Genomic DNA, 22,956 nt, shown 5'->3' with positions numbered 1-22,956 from the left:
CATGGTGAAACCCCGTCTCTATTAAAAATACAAAAATAAGCTGGGCATGGTGGCATATGCCTGTAGTCCCAGCTACTCGAGAGGCTGAGGCTGGAGAATCGCTTGAACCCAGGAGGCAGAGGTTGCAGTGAGCCAAGATGGTGCCATTGCACTCCAGCCTGGCGACAGAGCAAGACCTCCGTCTCAAAAAAAAAAAAAACCCACAATGCAATACCACCTTACTCCTGCAAGAATGGCCATTAAAAAAAAAAAAAAAGATATTGGTGTGGATGCAGTGAAAAGGAACCACTTCTACACTGCTGATGGGAATGTAAACTAGTACAACCACTATGGAAAACAGTGTGGAGATTCCTTAGAGAACTAAAAGTAGAAACTACCATTTGATCCAGCAATCCCGCTACTGAGTATCTATCCAGAGGAAAAGAAGTCATTAAATGAAAAAGACACTTGTACACGCATGTTTATAGCAGCACAATTACCAGCTGCAAAAATGTGAAACCAGCCCAAATGCCCAACAATCAACGAGTGGATAAAGAAACCGTGGCATATATATACAATGGAATACTACTCAGCCATAAAAAGGAATGAATTAATGGCATTCACAGCAACCTGGATGGATCTGGAGAATATTACTCTAAGTGAAGTAACTCAGGAATGGAAAACCAAACATTGTATGTCCTCACTCATAAGTGGGAGCTAAGCTATGAGGATGCAAAGGCATAAGAATTTCACAGTGGACTTAGAGGACTCGGGGAAAGGGTGGGAAGGAGGTGAGGGATAAAAAGACTACAAAATGGGTTCAGTATATATTGTTTGGGTGATGGGTGCACCGAAATCCCACGAATTACCACTAAAGAACTTACTCATGTAACCAAATACCACCTGTTCCCCAAAAACCTATGGAAATTAAAAAAAAAAATCTAGACAAGGACATTGATTTCTACCCACTGTCAGACATCAAGTTCATGATGATGCTTGTGATGACAAAATAATATGTGTGGATAAAATTAAGCCTCTGCTATCAAAACGTCATAGTTTAACGGTCTATTGATCCTTGGCACCACAGTTGTGGCTGGAGCTGTTGTGGAACGCTGGGCTGGGTGTGTTCAGACCACAAAACTTAGACTGTAAAAAAATTTAACTCAAGCTAATTGAGGCTTCCTGTCCATCTAGATCTCTCATCAATCATGAAAATTTCATTTTAGATGGTGGGCAGTCTCCAAAAAGCCTATTGTCATGATCGTAAATTAATAAGTAAAGTGCTTTCAGAGTGACACCAACACCAGCTGGTTTATGGCATTGGTAATTTAGCAGGGAAGGAGAGACAGGGAAATGACAAAAAGAGCACATTACAGATGGGCATTAAAAAACCTCAAGATCAAGGAATCTGACCTGAATTAAACGAGCAGATGCAGAACGGGGGTGGTTCCTTTGGAAGCACACTATAAATACCACAGCCTTCCCGACAGGACTTATATTAACGGTCTGACTGATGTTTTGTCCCTTCTTTGTTTTATTTGGATGTTCTGACTAATCTGAGTGTTTGGCTCCAGATATGCAGTGGGCCAAGGGGAAAAGGAGCCCCACAAAGTGGGTTTACAGGAATCGAATTTAGGATCCAAGCCACTGCTACTTGACTCTTGGGATGGGAAGAAAAATTGGAGAGTTCAGCACATTGCTGACTGTTCCCCCAAATTTATTTTTTGTTTTCATCATGATATAATTTTATCCAGGTATAAGATGACTCATTGAGAGACCACATTTCTTGGACTCCTTACAGTTAGGAGTGACTATCAGGCCAAGTTTCTTGCCAGTGAAATGTGAATTGAAGTGATGAGTGCAGCTCCTATGTCACTTGCCTAAACAGAAATTGCTTGCTTTTCATGTCTTCTCTGCCTACTGGCAGCCCAACTTTAACCAGGTACACAAAGACCATACCCTGAGAAAGGGCAACAAGACGAAAGGCACTTCGTCCTGGAGCAGATTCCCTTCAGTCTGGACCACTCACCTCTAAGCTGTTCCATGACAAAGAAATGCTATTCTTTTTATTGATCTTTCCATGGCTCGATTACAGCAGCAGCTTAAATAGTAGGCTTGACGATACAGTGAGTAAAGAAGCAGCTGCATCAGGAACTGAAAAATGGCTCTTCGGGTCATTGTTTCATCAAATTCCTTTCCTTTGCCTTTTTATTTGTCCCTTATCCCCTACCTGGAAAGGGCCAGTCCAATGCTGGGAGATTATGTTTAGGCATTGAGCTCAGAGCCAAATTGGTGCACGTGTACAGTCATCCCTCGGTACCAAGGGGATTGGTTCCAGGACCCCAAGGATTCCAAAATCCATGGATGCTTAAGTCCCTTCATAAAATGGGGTAGTATTTGCATATAACCTACACACATTCTCCTGTATACTTTAAATCATCTCAGATTACTTCTAATATCTAATACAATGTAAATACTAGCAAGTAGTTGTTATACTACATTAGTTTTTTGAATTTGTGTTCTTTGTTTTTCTATCCCCAGATATTTTTGATCTGCACTTGGTTGAATCTACAGATGTAAAACCCACGGATGCAGAGGGCTGACTGTGGCTAGAAAATGTGCTGCAGGGAGCACGTGGAAACAGCTGATGAGCACCTGCAGCCCCTGTTTGGGAGCAGCTGGGGTGTGCTGCCTGCCGTTCACCCATCAGTCAGTGAGTGCCTTGTGTGTGGTGTTGGGTTGGCTCTGAGGGCTTGGGGCAGGGAGACTTTTGATGGCCATGAGAAGATAAGCTGGAGTTAAGCATTGCCTGGTCCCTCTTCTGCTGAAGAAATTATTGCCCTGGAGACCCTGCATTGCTGTAGGGAAGGCCATGATGGCTGAGGAATAAAAAGGAGAGTGAGAAGAGAGAGAAGGCTGGCATACTCAATAAAGGAAAAGAAGAGTTTTGTCAAAAAATAGTGTTTTTGGCCAGGCGCGGTGGCTCATGCCTGTAACCCCAGCACTTTGGGAGGCTGAGGTAGGCGGATCACCTGAAATTGGGAGTTGGAGACCAGCTTGACCAACATGGAGAAACCCCGTCTCTACTAAAAATACAAAATTAGCTGGGTGTAGTGGCGAATGCGTGTAATCCCAGCTACTCGGGAGGCTGAGGCAGGAGAATCACTTGAACCTGGGAGGCAGAGGTTGTGGTGAGCTGAGATCATGCCATTGCACTCCAGCCTGGGCAACAAGAACGAAACTCCGTCTCAAAAAAAAAAGCATTTTTAAAACTTGGTCTGGAAGTGTTATAGTTCAGTAAGTCAGTCTGGATCCTTAATATGCTCTGATGCTGGCCCTAACTGGTTCTCTCAGGCCTCTTTACAACTCCCTTCTACATCCTTGTCCTATAAAGAGGGCACAGATACTCTCCGCATTAGAGCCACGTGGTGTTAGTGGGAAATAAAGTTGATTAAGAACATTTACAAGCAACAAAGTAGTGAAATGCCATGACTTTCTAAGTTCTCATGACAGCAGTAAGAGGGATGCATGGTTGGCTCAAGCCCAAAGCAGAAAGGGCTCTAAGACAGGGCCCCTCCCCTCAAGGTTCTGCCATAGGAACTTCTGGATGGAGGAAGTGGCCTTGTTGCAAAGGCTCAGCAGCTGGTACCGCCTGTCCTGCCATCAAACTAACTGGGGACCTGCTGAACCAGCTCTCCTTAGCTAAGAGAGGGTAGGAAATGCGTGTTTGAGGCCTTCCGGTTTGCTCTCTTTGGTTATGCCCAGGCTCCTGGCCCCTGGAGCTAGTCCAGGATCCTCTAAACAAGAAAGAAAGGTATTTTCCAATCTGGGCATTAGGAGCCATTTAATGTCCTTTCTACCTCCCCAATTTAATGCCTTATTGTCCTGTTCATTTTGATGTACTCAGCTCCAGAATATCTCCCTTTAGACAATTTGGTCTTTAAATCAGCAAGTCACTACAACTTAAGTATCCAACCATGCTTAGCTTACATTGACCTCGGGAGACATCACATATTCTGCCTTTATTTCTATATGTTGAATGTTTTTGACATCTATTAATTGAAAGCACGTTAAAGGATGATTTATATAAGAGGATATAATCATGACTCTCACATAACTATAAAATGAACAGACATTGAAGATTTTATTTAACTCATTATTTAGTTAAGGGACCAGTAAGATGTTACAACTGGTTCAAATAAGGGCTTGATTTATAGAGATTTATACTCTCCACAGCACAAAAGGAATAATTTGCATAGCTATGGACAGGAAAGCTATGCGTTACTATCAGTTTGCTACGTGTTAACATCTACTATTACAGAATTGTAAAATAGCCTAAAGACAATCAAAGTCATACATCCCTATAGGATCAGACAATCCCTGGAGGACCCGCTGGACAAGGCTTAGAATTCTATTGAAAGAACACCCAGTAATCTATTTTGCTCATTTCAAAGTTTGACGATTTTTCCTGACCATCTTCCTTCTCCTTGTTATTATATATAATTCTAAAGATTATTCTTGATCACAGAAAAAAGCTGGGCTCCTTAGGTTTGGCTGGTTACTTCTACAGTGCATCATAGATGCCTCCTTTGAAGTTTGCGTTGCAAAACCTAGAGCCATACGGTGTTGAATGATTCCAAATTAGCTCCTGCCTAGAAGTTATCATAAGGAATCTTAGCTTGGACTTCTAAAAGTGTCTGTTATTTTCTTTTCTTTTTTTGGGACGGAGTTTCATTCCTTATTGCCCAGGTTGGAGTGCAGTGGTGCGATCTCGGCTCACTACAACTTCCACCTCCCAGGTTCAAGCGATTCTCCTGTCTCAGCCTCCCAAGTAGCTGAGATTACAGGTGCCCGCCACCACACCGAGGTAATTTTTGTATTTTTAGTAGGGACAGGGTTTCACCATGTTGGCCAGGCTGGTCTCTAACTCCTGACCTCAGGTGATCCTCCCACCTTGGCCTCCCAAAGTGCTGGGATTACAGGCGTGAGCCACCGTGCCCCGCCATGTCTATTATTTTCTATCCTGCTAAGATTAGGAGACCAAGCCCAAGAAACTCCACCAAATTTTACCTGCAGTACCTATAGATTTGAGTGAATTCCTTTCTTCTAGAGGTTTCAGAAAAATACCTCCAAGTACTTGCCTAGAAGTGACTTTCCTTACTAACTGTAAGACTGGACACTATAAACTGGACCTACGTCAGGTTTCCTGAGAGGACATTATAGGCATTGGTTCCGTAAGTACAGCCAACCTTTATTCCTTAAAATGGCTTGTCACACCTCGTTAAATGAACATTATTCTCAAATAGGGCATTCAAGGCAAGGCTTTCATTGCATAATTGATGCTTCCAGTTGTATTTTGGCAAAAGGGAGGACAGATTCTTACTAAACCTATGCAAACAACTATATTGCCAAGAAATGTAGAGAGACTGGGTAAGAGTTTCTGAATTCAAATAAGAAGAATCGTGTTAGTGAGAATCATATATAATTTAAGAATACTTCATTCTGGTTTATAAAAGCAGAATTTAAAAGCTTATTGTGAATTACAGATAGCACAAGAAGAGAAAGAAAAGGCTTCTTACGATCTGGGAACAGAACCTTAAAACAACTGCATTTCAAATAACCCGAAAAAAATTTCTCTCATCAATTTTTTTTCAGTCTTGTGTAATTAATTCTCATTCTATTGGATCTTGGGTTAGCAGTTGTGTGAAACCGCTTTTCAGCTATAGAGTTATGGGAATCCTGACTCAGTTTACCGGTACAGTCTGAAAGTTACCAAAACCATGTCAGCTCAGCTTTGAAGAGTCAATAGTTTGGAGTACCTAATGCGGTCTCTTCCACGAGGCTCTGAGACTGTCTTTTGATGAAGACACAAGATCCGGCCTGTAGATTATAGCAGAGTCTTAAAGTAAGCATCAAAGCAAAAGAAAAACTGTCTACAAATAACACAGACTTGAGGCTACAGTTAATTTATTACTGGTATTTTTCAAATGTGGACAGTGCAGCAAGGTTCATGATAAGAACAATGCAACTGACAAGGAAATTTACTTGTTTCTGCGCCAAACAAAGACAAAAAAACCTCTTCCCCAGTTGCCCTCCCAATCTCAGCCATATAGACAGCCCACGCAGGTACCGAGCCCTGGGGTTTCAGGGATTCAGCCACAGGAAGTGGGGGCAGGAAGCTGTCCAAATCCAGCCCTCAGCTAAAGCAAATAATAATGGCCGTAAGCTTAAAATAGATCCAGGGAGGAGCTCATTAACGTGAACATAGAAAGCAGTTCCGCACCTCTGGCCTTACTCCTCTTGGAAATTGCTTTGGTCCATTTTTACTTCCTTTTATTCGACGCACCAGAAAATAAGACTTTTACCAACATTTTTACTGCATTTGACGATGAACTAATTTAGACCGGCTAAAATAATTGTTCCACTGGGACACAGGAATTCAACCTCAGTTCAGAAAATCCCTGACATCTGACGTAGGAGGATTTATAGGTTTAGTGGAAATTGCTTTCTCCTGCTCTCCAGATTGCATCCTGTGGGTTGATTTTTTTTTTGCATGAGTAAACATCCTTCTAATAATGAACAGACCAATAATGTCTTAAGAGAGAAAAAGAACAATCTTTTCCTTTTTGCTGTTTCTGGAGAGAGCTGTTTGAATTTGGAAACCCATGTTGGCTGTCCCAAATATGAGATTTGGCATCTTTCTTTTGTGGTGGGGATGGGTTTTGGCCACTGAAAGCAGAATGCACTGGCCCGGAAGAGAAGTCCACGAGATGTCTAAGAAAGGCAGGTGAGTGGACATTTAGGGATAGAGGATTTAGGAAAAGAGGATGCACAAAGTGAGCTTACAGTGTTCTTCTAGAAACTGAGCATCATTTCCAGCGTATGGTGTTTTGTGTGGATGCCTTTTTCTTCCCCTTCCCTTTGTTCTCCTGCTGCTCCCCTTTTAGAAAGTTAGAATTACGTTTTCTTTTAAAATGATGCTAGATTAGATCATTTTATCAGTGCATTTTTAAAATTCCTTATGAATTGTCCTGGGTGAAAGGTAGATTCTGGAAAATAGAATATATGCACATTTAAAAAAAATATCAAGGGCAATTGTTTGCTGTCTGTGTCCTAGGGTTAGAACAACTCTGTGAATTCTCAAATTACCAATGGGACCTGTATTTCATGAGAATGATTCTGCTCTAATTATTTCTGTTAGATTTGTGAATCATTTTTTAATATTTTAAAAGAAAGCAGCTTTCTCCAAGCTGTGTGACTAGAAGGATCATTATTAGATGGTTCCCTACCTATAAATTGGGAGGGCCAGGGACGGAGCCTCCTGCAGGCAAGTGCTTGCCTGTGGTCAACACCAAAGGTGCATGGTGCCCTGTCTGCCAGCACTTGCAGAGGGAGCTTACACAGGAAACCAGGTTCCCCACCAGCCCCTTAGCACTCGGCCTCACCTGGGCCATTCTGACGGCAGCACTGGCAATGTCTATCTGGGATGCACACCTGCTTGCCCGGCATCAGTCAATAATACAGGAGACTTGGAGACAACCTAATCCAGTGCTCTCTGTACTGATGAGGAAATGGAGACAGTAGGGCGTTGTTGATTCTTGGTCCTTTCTTAGCCTTAGCTTCAAATTGAACTTCACCTTTCTTTTGAGTGTAAATATAAATAGAGTCTGAGAGATCAGTGAATATGAAAAGATATCTAGCTTTTGGGAGTTTGGGGTTAGGAGGAGGGCTGTGTCTAGCACCTCAGTGTCCTCCTTCTGGGGCTGGAGGGAGCCCTCATCACATGGGCTCCCAAACAGCCAGCTGTAGCTCACAGCATTTGTTTCAAGCTGTTCTTAACAACATCACAAAACTAGGAGCTGAAATATCCAGTGGTCATGGTGAGCCCTGGGGTGCTAAGGGAGGCCACTGTGCCCTATTACCATCAGAGTCAGAAGTTGCTTGGGCAAACACTGGAACTTGTGGATTGGTGCAGCCGTAGAGATTATTTGATCCAAATGTGCTTATAGGGATTAAAAGCAACAACAACGACAACAAACTCTGTTGGTCTTCATCAAAAACTTTTCCCAAGCCAGAGTTAGAGTGGCAACCTATTTGCAAATATCGGTGATTAAGAAGTCTAAGAGAGTGAAATAGACTTTCTTTTAAATAATTTATTTAAAACATTTAAATTTTAAGTGACAAATTATGATTGTATATATTAATGGGGTACATACAAAATGATGTAAGGATCTATACATACAGTGTGGAATGATTAAGTCTAATTAGTGTATCCATTACCACAAATATTTACTGTTTTTTTGTGGTGAGAACATTTGAAATTTACTCAGCACTTTTGCAATATATAATACACTATTTTTAACTGTGGTCACCATGCTGTGCAATATGTCTCAAAAAACTATTCCTCCTGTCTAACTGAAACTACTTCTTGGCCAACATCTCCTCATACCCTCAATCTCCCAGCCTCTGGTAACCATCATTCTGCTGTCTGTTAATATGATTTCTGTTGTTTTAGATTTCACATACAAGTGAGATCATATGGTATTTGTCTTTGATGCTTGGCTTATTTCATTAAGCATAATGTCCTCCAGGTTTATGCGTGCTGTTGCAAATGACAGAATTTCTTTTTCTAAGGTTGAATAGTATTCCATTGTATACCACATTCTCTTTATCCATTCATCCATTGATGGACACTTAGGTTGTTTCTATAACTTGACTGTTATGAATAATGCTGCAATGAAAATGAGAGTGCAGGTATCTCTTCAACAAACTGCTTTTAAGTCCTTTGGATATATACCTGGACATGGGATTGCTGGATCATACGGTAATTCTGTTTTTAGTTTTTAGAGGAACCTCCATCTAGTTTTCCATAATGGCTGTGCCAATTTACATTCCCACCAATGGTGTTACAAGGGTTTTCTTTTCTCCACATCTTTGCCAAGGCTTGTACTTGTTCATCTTTTTAATTTTGTTTTGTTTTTTGTTCGTTTGTTTTAGAGACAGAGTCTTGCCCTGTTACCTAAACTGGATTGTAATGGTTTCAAGTGATCCTCCCACCTCAGCTTCTTGAATAGCTGGGACTACAGGTGCACTACCATGCCTGGCTAATTAAAAAAATTTTTTTTTCTATAGACAGGGTCTCACTATGTTGCCCAGGCTGGTCTCGAGCTCCTGGCTTCAAGTGATCCTCCCACCTTGGCCTCCGAAAGTGCCAGGATTACAGGCATGAGCCACCATGCTTGGCCATCTTTTTGATAATAGCCATTCCGACTGGTGTGAGATGATATCTCACTGTGGTTCAAATTTGCATTTCCCTAATGACTAATGATGTTGAGCATTTTTTCGTATATCTGTTGGCCACTTGTATGTCTTGTTTTGAAAAATGTCTGTTCAAGTCCTTTACCCATTTTTAATCAGGTTACTTGTTTTCTTGCTATTGAGTTGTTTGAGTTCCTTATATATTTTAGATATGAACCCCTTATCAGATGTGTATGCCTTACAAATATTTTCTTCCAATCTGCAGGTTGTCTCTTCACTGCATTAGTTATTTATTCTGCTGTGCAGAAGCTTTTTAGTTTGATGTAATCTCATTTGTCTATTTGCTTTTGTTGCCCAAGCTTTTGGAGTCAAATGCAAAAAATTCACTGCCTAGACCAATATTGTGTAACTTTTCTCCTATATTTTCCTCTATCAGTTTTACAGTTTCAGGTCTTACACTTAAGTCTTTAATCCATTTTGAGTTGATTCTTGTATATCAAAAGAAATGAAAGCTTTTAAAAGTAAAATTACAAAGAAATTTTATTTCATTCTCTAAGATCAGTAACAAGACTCACTCTCACCACTTCTATTCAACCATAGTACCAGAAGTCCTTGCCAAAGCAGTTAGACAAGAGAAAGAAAGAAAAGACATAGAAATAGGAAAGAAAGAAGTGAAATTGTTGCTGTTTGCTGATGACATGATCTTATATATAGAAAACCCTAAAGACTTCACCAAGAAAACTGTTAGAACTAATGAACAAATACAATAAAGTTGCAGATTCAATTCAGCATGCAAAAATCAGAAGTGTTTCTGTTTCTTTAGTTATGAAAGACACATATAACTATTATTTAAATTTACCAAAAAAAGAGAAAAAAATTTTAAAAACACCCAAGAATTACCCATAATCTCCAAGCCCAGAAGTAACCTTGTTAACATTTTTGTGTATTTTCTTCTTGTCTTTTTTGGTAAGCATATACTGAATACTAAGTAGTTTGGAATTATGCCATGCATATAGTCTGCATGTTCACTTATTTGAAAAGTCAATAGAATTATCATTTGATTGGCTGCATAATAATGCAAATATGTAAATTAATGCACAGTGTGCCACCATTTAAGTGTTTTCCTCTATTTACAGACATTTGGTTGCTTCCTCTTTGTTATTACAAATCTTCTGTATTTACATCTTTGTATATAAGAAGAGTTGTTCACATACATAATTAATCAGGTTAGACTCCTGGAAGTGTTCTGGATCAAATGGCACAAGAACATTGAAAGCTCCAGATATATGCGGGCAAATTTCTTTCCAGAATGTTACGTCAACCCAACTTATACCCCACCAGCCAGGTTAAACTTCATTTTTATGTAGCCTAAACTTTTAAAGGGCTTACTTAATTTCATCCAGACTCCAAATCCATAAGCTGCTGGTAATTTGTATCCAGGCTTCTTTACATGGTCATGCTAATAAAATAGCTTAGGTAAACATGGGCACACCAGGGGGTGAATCTAGTGAGGTGCCTAGGGTGCAAAACTGAAGGAGGTGCTTACATGCCCCAGAGAGTGACTGGCTCTTTACATTTTACTCCCTATGCACCTTACCTGCCTCACTCTAGTCTCCACTCCAGGAAATAATTCATGTTTTCCCAGAATCTCCATGGGAGGCACATCCAGATAGGACCCATCTTCACCAATCATGCAGAATCAAGATCAGAATGCCAGGGCACTGGGCAATGTTTCTAGAATCAAAACTTACTGTCTCAGGCCGGGCATGGTGGCTCATGCCTGTAATCCCAGCACTTTGGAAGGCTGACACATGAGGATAACTTGAGCCCAGAAGTTCAAGACCAGCCTGGGGAACAAAATGAGAGCCTGTTTCTATAAACAGTACAAAAAAATGTAGCTGGCCACGGTGAGGTGTGCCTGTAGTCCCAGCTACTCAAGAGGCTGAAGTGGGAGAATGGCTTGAGCCTGGGATGTCAAGGCTGCAGTGAGCCGTGATCATGCCACTGCACTTCAGCCTGGGCCCATCTGACCCTGTCTCAGAAAATAAATAAATAAATAAATAAATAAATAACCCAAAACTTACTGCCGGTCCTCTCCTCCTCTCTTCCCTGGAAGAATGGAAACATAACTTGTCTACACTATGGGCCCCTGGACCATGCCAGCTCAGGCTGTGGGAGGGCAAACTGATTCTACCAGAAGCTGGAAGTACATTATCATGCATTCTTTGTCGTGCTAAAGAATTCACGTTTATTCTGAAGGTGAAGAGGAGCTGAATGGTCTCAGCAGATTTCCATTTCAGAGAGACGATGCTTGCTTGCTCAGCAGCATGATGGAACACCAGGAAGGGGGATAGAGGGGAAACAGAGAAAGTAATCCAGAGTCTATGACCAGAGTCTGAGGCCAGGTAAGAGCTGGTGCAAAGCTCATTCATAGTGGAATGAACAGGATGGGGATGGGGGAGGAATGAATATGAGAGCTTTCAAGGAGCTAGAATGGTCAGAATCTGATTGGCTTCAGGGTGAGAGAGAAGTTTAGGGTGAATGTTCGGCAGGTCTTTGGATTGTACGACTGAGTAGATGGTGATGCCAGGAAGGAGAGCAGGTGGAGGATTAGGTTTGGGGGTGAAGGTGATGAGTTTGGTATGAACATATGGACCTAGATGTGCTTGCAAGATACCCAGAGACAGCTGTCCAGTCAGCAGGAAGGGATATAAGTCTGCAGCTCAAGAAGGAAACTGGGCCTAGAGAATTAGATTTAAAGGGAGTCCCCATAGGTGGCAATGGATGAGGTGGCCAGAGACAGCATGTGGCATGAAATAAGGACCAGATCAAGGACAGACCTTGGGGAAGAGCAGCATTTAAGGAGAAGATAAAGGAAGGGGACTCAATGTAGAGCTGGAAATGAGTGATCAGAGAAATGGGTATAGAGCTGGAACACAGAGGTGTTGAGGATGTTAAGAGGCCCATTTTTTCAACAGTTATCAAGTGCTTATTACAGGGCAGGCACTACACTGGGCAATGAGCTCTTCACCAGTCACAAAATGAGATGCAGGCTGTGCCATCAGAGACCTTCCGACTAGGAAGGTGTTCTAGCAAGGTGTCAAGGGTTTTAAGAAGGAGGGAGTGGTCAATAGGGTCAGATCACTCCAAGGTCAAAATCAACTAGGTAGAGGACTGAGAAGTGAGCCCTAGATATGGTAGTTTTGTGTCATTAATGATCATTCCAAGAAGAGACAGATGTCAGAGGGTTGAGGAGAGTAGAAGAGAAAATGGAGTGAATATAGACAGTATTTACAAGAAACTTGGTGTGAACTGAAAGACTGAGATGGGATGAAGGCGAGAGAGGAAGACAGGAGAGTTTTAGGGTAGGAGGGACTTTGGAGGGTTCAAAGGATGAAGAGAGGCCAGGGGCGGCAACAATGTGGCATGAGGAGTTGCTGTCAAATCCCTGTCTTGCATGACAAAGAGAAAGCTGTGGGATTATGGACTGGATCTCTGATCACCCTCAACGCCTTGAAATTTGATTTTCTCTTAAGTTAGTAGTGCTCTCTTCATCTTGTCCCTCTGCTCCCCAGAAAGTTTGCTTGAACGTTCGAGTCCCCACTTTGTGCTTCCTGGTCTTTTGTCTCCCTGCTGATTACGACCTGCCCCTGCTCCTTGCAGTCTCCTAAGGCCTCTGCACCTGCTGCTCCCATGCTCACAACACCATTCTCTTTCTTATTTCTCTGACCCATTTTTTTTCTTCCTCCAATATTTAGCAGAGGTGTCACCTCCTCTGAGAAGCCTTCCTTGGCCTTCCCTCACCCCCTGCCTCTCAAGTCTCAATTAGGTGGCTTACTTCTGAGCTTCTGCAGCTCTCCACCACCCTTCTCTCCAAGGACTAATCACTCAGCATTGCCTTTTTTATCTCATTTTTCTCTGCTTCTAGACTATGAGTCCCTTGAGGGCGCATTTATCCTTGTTTCCCCACAATCAAGAACAATGGTGAATGTTCATGAAGTGTTGGGCATGAATAAATGAGTGAATCCTGACTCTTGCTATTTCCTGTACTTCATTCATTCATTCAACAAATATGTATTGAGGGCACTATACTCCAGGCACTGTGCCCATGGCTTGGGAGGCAATGGTAAGCAAAATAGACCTGCTCCTCCCCTTGAAGTGCTGACAGTCTAGTGGGGGAGACAGACCTTAATCAGACCACTTTTGTAGAATGCAAAAATTAAAAATTTTGCAGAAGACTGGGCATGATGGCTCACACCTGTAATCCTAGCACTTTGAGAAGCCAAGGCAGGAGGATTGCTTAATCCCAGGAGTTAGAGACCAGCCTAGGCAACATAGTGAAACCCCATTTCTACAAAAACAAGCAAAATTAGCCAGGTGTGGTGGCACACACCTGTGGTCCTAGCTACTCGGGAGGCTGAGGTGGGAGGATCACTTGAGCCTGGGAGGTCGAGGCTGCAGTGAGCTGAGATTGCAACGCTGCATTCCAGCCTGGGTGACAGAGTAAGAACTATCTCCAAAAAAAAAAAAAAAAAAAAAAAAAAAAATTGCTGCAGAATGTCAGACCTTCAAGGACCTTAGAAACCCCCTCACTTTAAAGGTGAAAAGAGCAAGGCCCAAAAGGGTACACAAACTTGTGCCATGGTCACATAACATATCCACAGAGCTCCCACAGACCCCATGTTTCCACTTCTGGTGCTTTCCTCTCGCCATCAGAAAACAAAAGAAAGTTATATTGATGGACATAAAACTCAGGTTGAACCAGGTGAAAATGTTTTTGTACGTCACAAACAGTTGAATGTCAGCCATTTCCTGTGGTTCAAATTAACATTTTCTTGCTTAATTCTTACAGCACGCCAGTAAAGTTAGTATTATTCCCCCCATCTTATAGGAAACTGAGACACAGAAAGATCAGGTAACCTGCCCAAGGTTAACAGCTAGTTTGTGGCTCCCCTGGGATTCACACTGAAGTCTGACTGATGCCAAGTCTGCACTCCTTCCAATACTGTAAGCTGCCTCATCAAATAAATCTAACCTCAGACAAGCAGTGGTGGCTCTTGGGATTGCGGTGATAGCATTGAGAAGACCTCGTGAGTCTTGACTCACCCCTGTTGAAGGCCTGGTCTCTGCTCCACTCCCCAGGCGAGAGGGCAGGAGGTGAAGCGAGGTAGAGATGTTCCGTCCGCAATTTCACATTCTGAAATGCATTGCAGGCTGTCCCCTTGACAAACACCTGTTTTTGTTTGTTTGTTTTGTTTTTGTTTTTAGGCAGCTGAGACATTTAATTGGCTATGGGGATTTCACTCAAAAGGCATTTAACAAGAGTCTAAAATGTTGGCATTAGGGTCAAATAGATATCTACAAGTTAGAAAGTAGTACGTTCTATAAGAAATGGGAATAATACAATCTGAGAATTCTAATAAAGAGAACAGGTAGACAAAATTCAGAGCTTTAAATTAAAAAAAATAAAGTAACCCGGTGTCTTCAAGTGGGAGGCATATGGTATTCCCAGGCATAGGAATTCAGACATATATGTACAAGGAAAAAAAAGGGATGATCTAGGCTGAGATTTTTTTTTAAGCCCGCAACTTGGATGATAGGCTGAGATTTTATCTAAGAAGCAGTTAGACAAACATATTCTTGATGTGTTCTTTTTACTCTGTGGCAAGGCAGTAGCAGGCCAGGGCTGTCTGTGTGTTAGGGGCCCACCAAGTTGGTGGGAACAGAAGTCAGTAATGGTGGCAAGAAGACAGCTTGATCAAATACCCTGAGACCTGACAGAAGCTGATAGGTCAAAGCTGGGCTGGTACGCCCATCCTAGACAGCCCTGGCAGCCCTTTGGCTGCAGGCAACAGCTCAGATCTCCCTCAGATGTGCAGGCCTCAGGGGTCAAGGAGTGTTCGCACTGTATCAGTCAGGGGTCTCCAGAGGAAGAGAACCAGTAGGCTGTCCACATCCACATCCTTATGCCTTTCTCTGTCTGGATCACACATTTGTGGGGGCTGCCAAGTCTGAGATCTGCAGGGCAGACCAGCAGGCTGGAAGTTCTGGCAGAAGCTGGCGTGTTGCCATCTTGAGTAGGAAGGCAGTCTGGAAGCAAATTCCTTCTTCTTCTTCGAGAAACCTTAGTCTTTTCTCTGAAGGCCCACAACTGACTGGATGGGGGCTCCCCACATGATGGAGGGTATCTGCTTTACTTAAAGTCCGCTGATCTAAATGTTAACCACATTTTTTAAAAATATCGTCACAGTAACATTTAGACTGATGTTTGACCAGAACAAGTACCATGGTCTAAGCAAGTTGACCCATAGAATTAACCATCACACATTTTAGAGAACATAATTTGAAAAGCACAGTATTAGTTACCAAAAATCCACTTAGGAAGGAATCAAAGGAAATGAACTATTTAATATTTACAGCCAAGGAAAAATACAAAATGCTCAACTCATTATGTGGAAGAATGCACAGCCTCTGTAACAATTCAGGAAATGCAATATAAATAACATGATGGATACATGCTCATTAAATTAATGAAAGTTAAACACACGCACACACCCAGTGCTAGTGGGTCTGTGTGGAACCCACACCCCTATTGGTGCAGCTCTGGCAGGGAACCTACCCTTGTAGCATCGCCTTCAGCCAACAGGACTAGAGCAGCGAAGCGCCTCTCACATCTCAGGGAGGCTGCCGCCTTCTGGAATGGACTTGAAAGGTTTCGAAGCCATCTCATTGCCTAATCCCTTATTTCACAGCTGAGGAAACAGACCTGGAGAGAAGCAACTTGCCATCTCCCACCAGTAAGCAAAACGGGTTCAAGGCAGTGTGCTGGCTTCCTAACTGCCTGCTTCCTCCTACTGTACCAGGTCATGGCCTCAGAGAGCTGTGAAAAAGAGCTCCATTTTTAAAAATTAGAAATCACAACTTTGGCTGAACATTGGAATCACCTGAGATTTGAAAACTATTGCTGGCTGGGTCCCACCCTTAGAGGTTCTGATTTAATTGGTCTGCTCTGTGGCCTGGGATTTTTTAAGCTCCTCGGGTGATTCCAATGTGTAATCAGGGCTGAGCATTAGATGGTTGTGTGCTACATGTCCACTATTCTGGTAGCAAATAATTCTTTTCTCTCTTCCTAATTTGAAGACCACTCTCTTTGATGAAGAATAGCAAAGTAAAATTGGATTCTGTTAGCAGAATCTCAGCCTTATCATAATTGTTTATTAACATTGCCTCACCTCTGCCAGGTGTGGTGGCTCACACTTGTAATCCCAGCATTTTGGGAGGCCGAGGCGGGCAGATCGCTTGAGCTCAGGGGTTCAAGACCAGCCTGGGCAACATGGCAAAACCCCAACTCCACAAAAAATACAAAACTTAGCTTGGCATGGTGGCACATGCCTGTAATCCCAGCTACTCAGGAAGCTGAGGTGGGAGGATAGCTTGAGTTCAGGAGGTCAAGGCTGCAGTGAGCTGAGATTGTGCCACTGCATTGTAGCCTGGACAACAGAGTGAGACCCTGTCTTCAAAAAAAAATTAACATTAAAAAAAAATTTAATCTTGCTTCATCTTCTCCAAGTGGTATATTTCCTTCTACTGACTCTCCTAGCTCAGGATGCAACTGGAAAGAATTCTGCTTGTCTTTACCATGTCTCTTGAGTCTAATTTAGACTCTGGCCTCCCTTGACTCATTTCTTATGGATCCCTTCAATTCTGTGCAATACACCCTTGGGTTTGTGCTTCTCCTTCCATATTTGGTACCTGTCTTTGTAAAGTCAATTCTGCACACTGCTAAGGTTTTACAGAGATGTGTAACGTAGAGGCCGGGCATGGTGGCTCACAAATATAATCCCAACACTGTGTGAGTTTGAAGCGGGAGGATCCCTTGAACCTAGGATTTGGAGACCAGCTTGGGCAACATAGTGAAACCCCTTCACTACAATTTTTTTTTTTAAATTAGCTGGGCATGGTGTCACACAACTGTGGTCCCAGCTACTTGGGAGGCTGAGGCAGGAGAATTGCTTTAGCCTAGGAGGTTGAGGCTGCAGTGAGCTATAATTGCACCACTGCACTCCAGCCTTGGGCAACAGAGAGAGATCTTGTTTCAAAAAAAAAAAAAAGTACAGTCTCTCATCTATTGATCCCACGGTGAAGTGAGTGGGATGGTCAGAAGGCCTATCACCACAATAGCACGGTGTGCACATTCTGATGGAAGCATGTAAAGGAGAGAAGCTCAAGAATGCTTTCAGGAGGAGGTGGCATTTTATCTGGGAATGCGTGGAGTTGTCTGGGTAACAAAGGGTATGAAGAATGATGGGAAGGGCATTCCAGACAGTTGGGACATCGGGAGCAAAGCACAGAGATGTAATTGACAACGGCAAGAAGTTGGGGGCAGAGTGGGAGCTGAGTGGAAAAGTGAGTGGGAGCCTTATTATGGGCCTTATATGCCCAACTTCCACGGATTTTACTTTGAGGATGAAGGGTTTTAAGAGAAGTGACATAATTGTGATTTTCATTCCATGGTGTTGGTGGGGTGGTTGGATTAGAGAAGGATAAGACCAGAGGCAGGAAAGCCTGCTGCCTCCCATATGCTAAGTAATGACACCTGAGGCAGGGGGCGTGGGGATGGAGAGGGCGAGACAGCAGGGGTGGGGCATGGGGTGTTGAGAAGGAGGTCAGCCAGGACTGGCTGCCTGACTGCTGTGGGCAGGGCCCCAGTTGGCCTTTCGTGGCCTTTATGCACATCAGAAAAATGTAGCCCTATGAGCAGTACATGTCTGAGAAGTGGAGCTAGAGCCAGTGTTCTCAGTGTCCCTGGAAGAGGATGTGAGAGATGGGGGGGCGGGGGGTGGAGGTGCCAAGGACAACATCTGGGTGTTTTGCACTACATACAAGGACTTCTTTTCTTGGCTGTTAGAAATGCCGAGAAAGCATGATCATTTTCATTAGCCGGTTTCTGCTTCCTTGTAAAAATTAAGTTCTCTGTCTTCTCAGATGAAATAGTCAGCAAGGTGAAGTGTAACTTATCAGATGCTCGGCCATTAGCTGAATGAGCCTTCCAGCAGACCTCCCTCATCACAAACCCCCATCCGTGCTCCAGCTCACCTCCAAGAAAGTTCTGACACCTCTTTTGGGAAAACATCCATGCACAGACTAAGAACTAGAACAAGCAGACATCAAGAAGAAGTCTTGTAGGTTGGAATTTGTCATTTGATCCAAAATAAAAGTGGGTGTTCAACAAATGTACACCCTATGTTCAGTTCAAAAAGCTGTCTCATGTCATCCTGCATCATCTTAACATGGTACATGCCTATCCTTTCTTCATAACCTCCTGGGGCTCATTCAGTAAATATTTATCATGCACCAACTTTGTGCAAGGTCTATGTTAACTTCTATATGAGGAGACGATAAGCTCAGACCTTCCACATCTAAGCCAATTTCCTGGCAGTGGGAGGCAAATCTTCCAACGTGATGCTGTGGCCAGCCTTGCTTCCAACCCTGGAGCCAGAACCCCTGGCTCTGACTTCTGGCTCCTTCACTTTTACAAGTTATTTAAAGTCTTTGTATCTCAGTTTCCTACATATAAAATGGGGATAATGACGAGGCCTACTTCATAGGGTTGTTTTGAGGAATAACCTGAGTTAACACATGCAACAGGAGTTAGCATGGTAACTCACACATAGGAAGTGCTCAAGCAGTGTTAGATTTTCCTATTATTTGTTTTGTGTGATACATCATTTCAAGATTAATAACCATACCCTCAGATGGTGAAAAGATGCCAATGACGCAAAAAAATTCCATGATATATTATAATTTGAGTTTAAAAGAAAGTTTCAAACAGTATAATTCTCCAAGAATCATAAGAAAATACAGATGCAGAATGGCAGAGGTTCCTTCTGAGTTATATTCATCTTCTCCTTTATGATTAATCTATTTTCTAAATTTTTTTACATGGGCATGTAAACAGGAAAAAAAGTTATCTAATAATATTAATAATGAAAAAGACTATAACTGTATTTTATTCATCCGTCTTCTCTTGGCTAGAATCGAGGCTTCATGAAGGCAAAGGCAGTGGCATCTCAGAATTTGACAAACCTCCTTTCATCAGTGACTGGTTCCATTTCAGGCTGGCCCAAAGTCAAAGTAAGAGCTGGGCCAAGCTTTTTTCCATTCCAATCTCCTCTTTCATTCCCTCCTGTCTCCCTTTTTAGGTGCCCATGTAGGGGGCTGATTCCTTCCTTCATTCAACTAATAGGTATTGAGGGTCCACAGGGATCCAACACTGTGCAAGGGACTGAATGCAAAGAGAACTTTGTCCCCGGTGTCCTTCGGCCTCACGCTGCCCATCAACTGTGATGGCCCATCGCCTGAAGCGCATGCCACTCCCCAGTCTTAGCTCTGCCCACGCCTGCAGAGCGCACACCTGTCTCTGCTCCATTTTCTACAGATGACATAATCCTTGTGCATCTGTTCTGATGTGTCCCTGTGCATCAGTCGAGTCCTGGCAGAAAACAGCATTGCCTTCAAAAGGGCTTAACTCATGATGATCGAATAAAAGGACAATTCGAAGAGATGTGGGCAGAGTTCAGTGATCCAGTCAGGCACGTTGATGCCCCCAAGGACTAGGAATAGGAGGAAGCCAGGACTACCCCTCGACTAGAAGGGGAAATATTAACTATTATTGGAGCTTATTGAAGATACTGTGATTATCAGCAATCACAGAGTAACACAGGCATTGCTAGTCCTGGCATCAAAGCCGGGAGAGAATGAGGAGTAAATACCCTGACCTCTTTCTTCCTCCTCCTCCTCTCTCATCTCCTGTCGGTGCCCATTTGGCTGAAATCATGAGCCAAAGAACGAGGATGCTCAAGTGATGCAGTTCACCTGGCAGTGTGTTACTCTCCGTAATGAGGGTTTTATGGTGGATCAAAGTTAAAGTGTACACATCCTTAAGAGCCTTCTAAAAGAATGGCGTCCATTTCACGCCCGGGTAGACCAGTGGGGGAGATATTTTAGCTCAGACCTCTTCAAATTAGGCCTTCTTAGTAATGAACCCTCCAGTTTCTACTGTAGGTACTTGGAAAATGCTCAACAAGAGGCTAAATGAATGCATTGAATCTTCGTAGTTTTTTCTTCTTCTTTTACATTTTATTCTGGATAGATTTGAAGCAAATCTGGAGGGAGAGGGGTGCTTGGTTGATCTGAGTACCTAGACTTTCTCTACAATGTCTTTATTTTTAATGTTCATGGTAGGCCCCAAAGACAAAGACGAGAAGTACATGAAGATGCCCACAAGCAAGTCAGGTATGGCCATAAGCACGTGCACACTGTTCTGCAGATGTTTCCTCCGTGAACCTCAACTGTAGTGATTTTCAGCAGGGCCCCTCCCCGACCCCTCACCAAGGATCAGAAAGTGGAGGGTGGGGGACCAGAGGAAGGGGAGCCTGAAAGGAGACGGCAGTCAGGGGTGGCGGGGTGGCTCCTGGATCGAGCTGGTGAGAGAGGATGTCCGCGGCAATGGGAGCTGGTGTTCCTCCTCTTGACAAGCCCGGCTTCCTCCCTTATATCTGTAAGCAGCTCACTGGTTCCAATTCTTTCCCTGGGCCACCTCCTTTGCTGCCAGCACGGTAATTCCTCACTTTAGAAGGACACTTCCTGGTGGGTTCAGAAATGGCAATGGCTCCTCCCATTTGTGTAGCACTTTCTAGTTTGAGAAGTACTTCCAGGTTGGGTGCGGTGGCTCACGCCTGTAATACCAGCACTTTGGGAGGCCTAGGTGGGAGTTGCTTGCAGGCCAGGGGTTTGAGGCCAGCCTGGGCAACATAGTAGAACCCCCATCTCTACAGAAAATTTAAAAATTAACTGGACTCAGTTGCATGTACCTGTAGTCCCAGCTACTTGGGAGGTTGAGATGGGAGGATCACTTGAATCCAGGATCACTCGAGCCCTGGAGTTTGAGGCTGAAGTGAGCTCATGATAGGTCACTGAATCCAGCTTGGATGACAGAGCAAGACCCTGTCTCTAAAAATAAATAAATAAATAAAAAATATAAAATAAAGAGGGGATAACTAAGAATATATGTCTGTATATACTTGTATACAAGAAACTCTGGTCAGATAGACAAGAAACCAGTAAGAGCAACACCTGGCCAGGTGTGGTGGCTCACATCTTTAATTCCAGCACTTTGGGAGGCTGAGGTGGGTGGATCACTTGAGGCCAGGAGTTTGAGACTAACCTGGCCAACATGGCAAATCCCCTGTCTCTACTAAAAATATAAAACTTAGCCAGGCGTGGTGGCAGGCGCCTGTAATCCCAACTACTTGGGAGGCTGAGGCATGAGAATCACTTGAACCTGGGAGGTGGAGGTTGCAGTGAGCCGAGATCACACCACTGCACTCCAGCCTGGGTGACACAGTGAGACTGTCTCAAAACAAACAAACAAACAAACAAACAAAAAAACGAAACACCTGTGGATGAGGGCTAGGAGCGGGTGGAGGCAGAAGTGGGAGGCTGAGTCTTCACTACATTTCTTCTTTTAAAAAATTGTCAACTGCTAAAAGTATGTTACCAATCGAGAAAAAGAGAAAATAAATACAAATGACCCCAGGTGTGGTTCAGAAGCAGTAGCAGGAGTAGCCACCTTCCATGCAAACAGGATGGTCAGCATTTCCCTTGAGGGCAAGGTCCCGCTCCCTCCACAGTGGGCCAACAGAGATCAGGGGACCAGGCTCAGACCGTACTCACTGGCTCTCCCCTCCAGCTCAAAACCCCTCAAAAGGCTGAGGCACTTTAAGGGAATTTGGGCTATTAATAACAAGACTAGAACCAGCTATTTTTCAGTCTTGGTTACACATTAAAATCATCTGGGAAGCTTTAAAAATACCAGGCCCTATTCCCAGACAGTCCAAATCAGCATCTCGGAGGTGGGGCCTGGGCATCGGTATTTTTTTTTTTTTTTTTGAGACGGGGTCTCACTCTGTTGCCCAGGCTGGAGTGCAGTGGTGCAATCTCGGCTCACTGCAAGCTCTGCCTCCTGGGTTCACACCATTCTCCTGCCTCAGCCTCCCGAGTAGCTGGGACCACAGGCGCCTGCCACCACGCCCAGCTAAGTTTTTGTATTTTTTGTAGAGATGGGGTTTCACCGTGTTAGCCAGGATGGTCTCGATCTCCTGACCTCGTGATCCACCCGCCTCGGACTCCCAAAGTTCTGGGATTGCAGGCGTGAGCCACCGCACCCGGCCCAGGCATCAGTATTTTTAAAGCTCCACAGTCATGGTCAAAGCCAATGTCTTGGACCTTCTGGGTTAGTTCATTTATCCAGAAAGATGGAGAAAGAAAGAGGGGATGTCCAATAGCTTAAAAGAAGAAATAGCACACCCCATCACACCTATCAAGATCAAGTCAGAATGCAAGTTACTGTTTATTTGTCTTGGTTGGAATATATGATCAGCCTGGTTTCTTCCCCCTTGGCAGCCCAATTCTGAGACGAAGTCCTGACATCACCAAATCGCCTCTGACAAAGTCAGAACAGCTTCTGAGGATAGATGACCATGATTTCAGCATGAGGCCTGGCTTTGGAGGTATGGGATGTGTGCTCTCAGGGTGTCCTCTTTCTTCTGGTCCTCTGTCTGTGGGCAGGAAATTAGCCAAGGGACAGCACAGCTTTGCTCTCCGCTGACCCGGTCTGCCTCAGTTGTGCTTGGTGGACAAGACATCGAGCCCACAGTA

General features: G+C 43.5%; 1 protein-coding gene across 5 annotated transcripts in view; it reads left to right on the top strand.

Annotated features, from left to right (window-relative positions):
* The window catches only part of GABRR1 (gamma-aminobutyric acid type A receptor subunit rho1), a 53,785-nt gene that overhangs the window by 7,322 nt on the left and 23,507 nt on the right, over nt 1–22,956 (top strand). Inside the window, exons 2-5 of one of the 5 annotated variants that reach the window (NM_001267582.2) lie at nt 2,521–2,692; nt 19,273–19,371; nt 20,479–20,532; nt 22,702–22,808. In NM_001267582.2, coding sequence (NP_001254511.1) covers nt 22,790–22,808 — 19 coding nt within the window. In that variant the 5' untranslated portion in view covers nt 2,521–2,692; nt 19,273–19,371; nt 20,479–20,532; nt 22,702–22,789. Of the gene's footprint in view, nt 1–2,520; nt 2,693–6,189; nt 6,767–19,272; nt 19,372–20,478; nt 20,533–22,701; nt 22,809–22,956 lie in introns of those variants that run through there. The other 4 variants (NM_001256704.1, XM_017010689.2, NM_002042.5 and 1 more) reach the window with 4 other exon arrangements.

Source organism: Homo sapiens, chromosome 6 (assembly GCF_000001405.40).
Source record: "Homo sapiens chromosome 6, GRCh38.p14 Primary Assembly".
In the NCBI taxonomy this organism is placed as follows: Eukaryota; Metazoa; Chordata; class Mammalia; order Primates; family Hominidae; genus Homo; species Homo sapiens.
The sequence above is the reverse complement of the archived record's forward strand: the minus strand, read 5'-3'. Positions and strand labels throughout refer to the sequence as shown.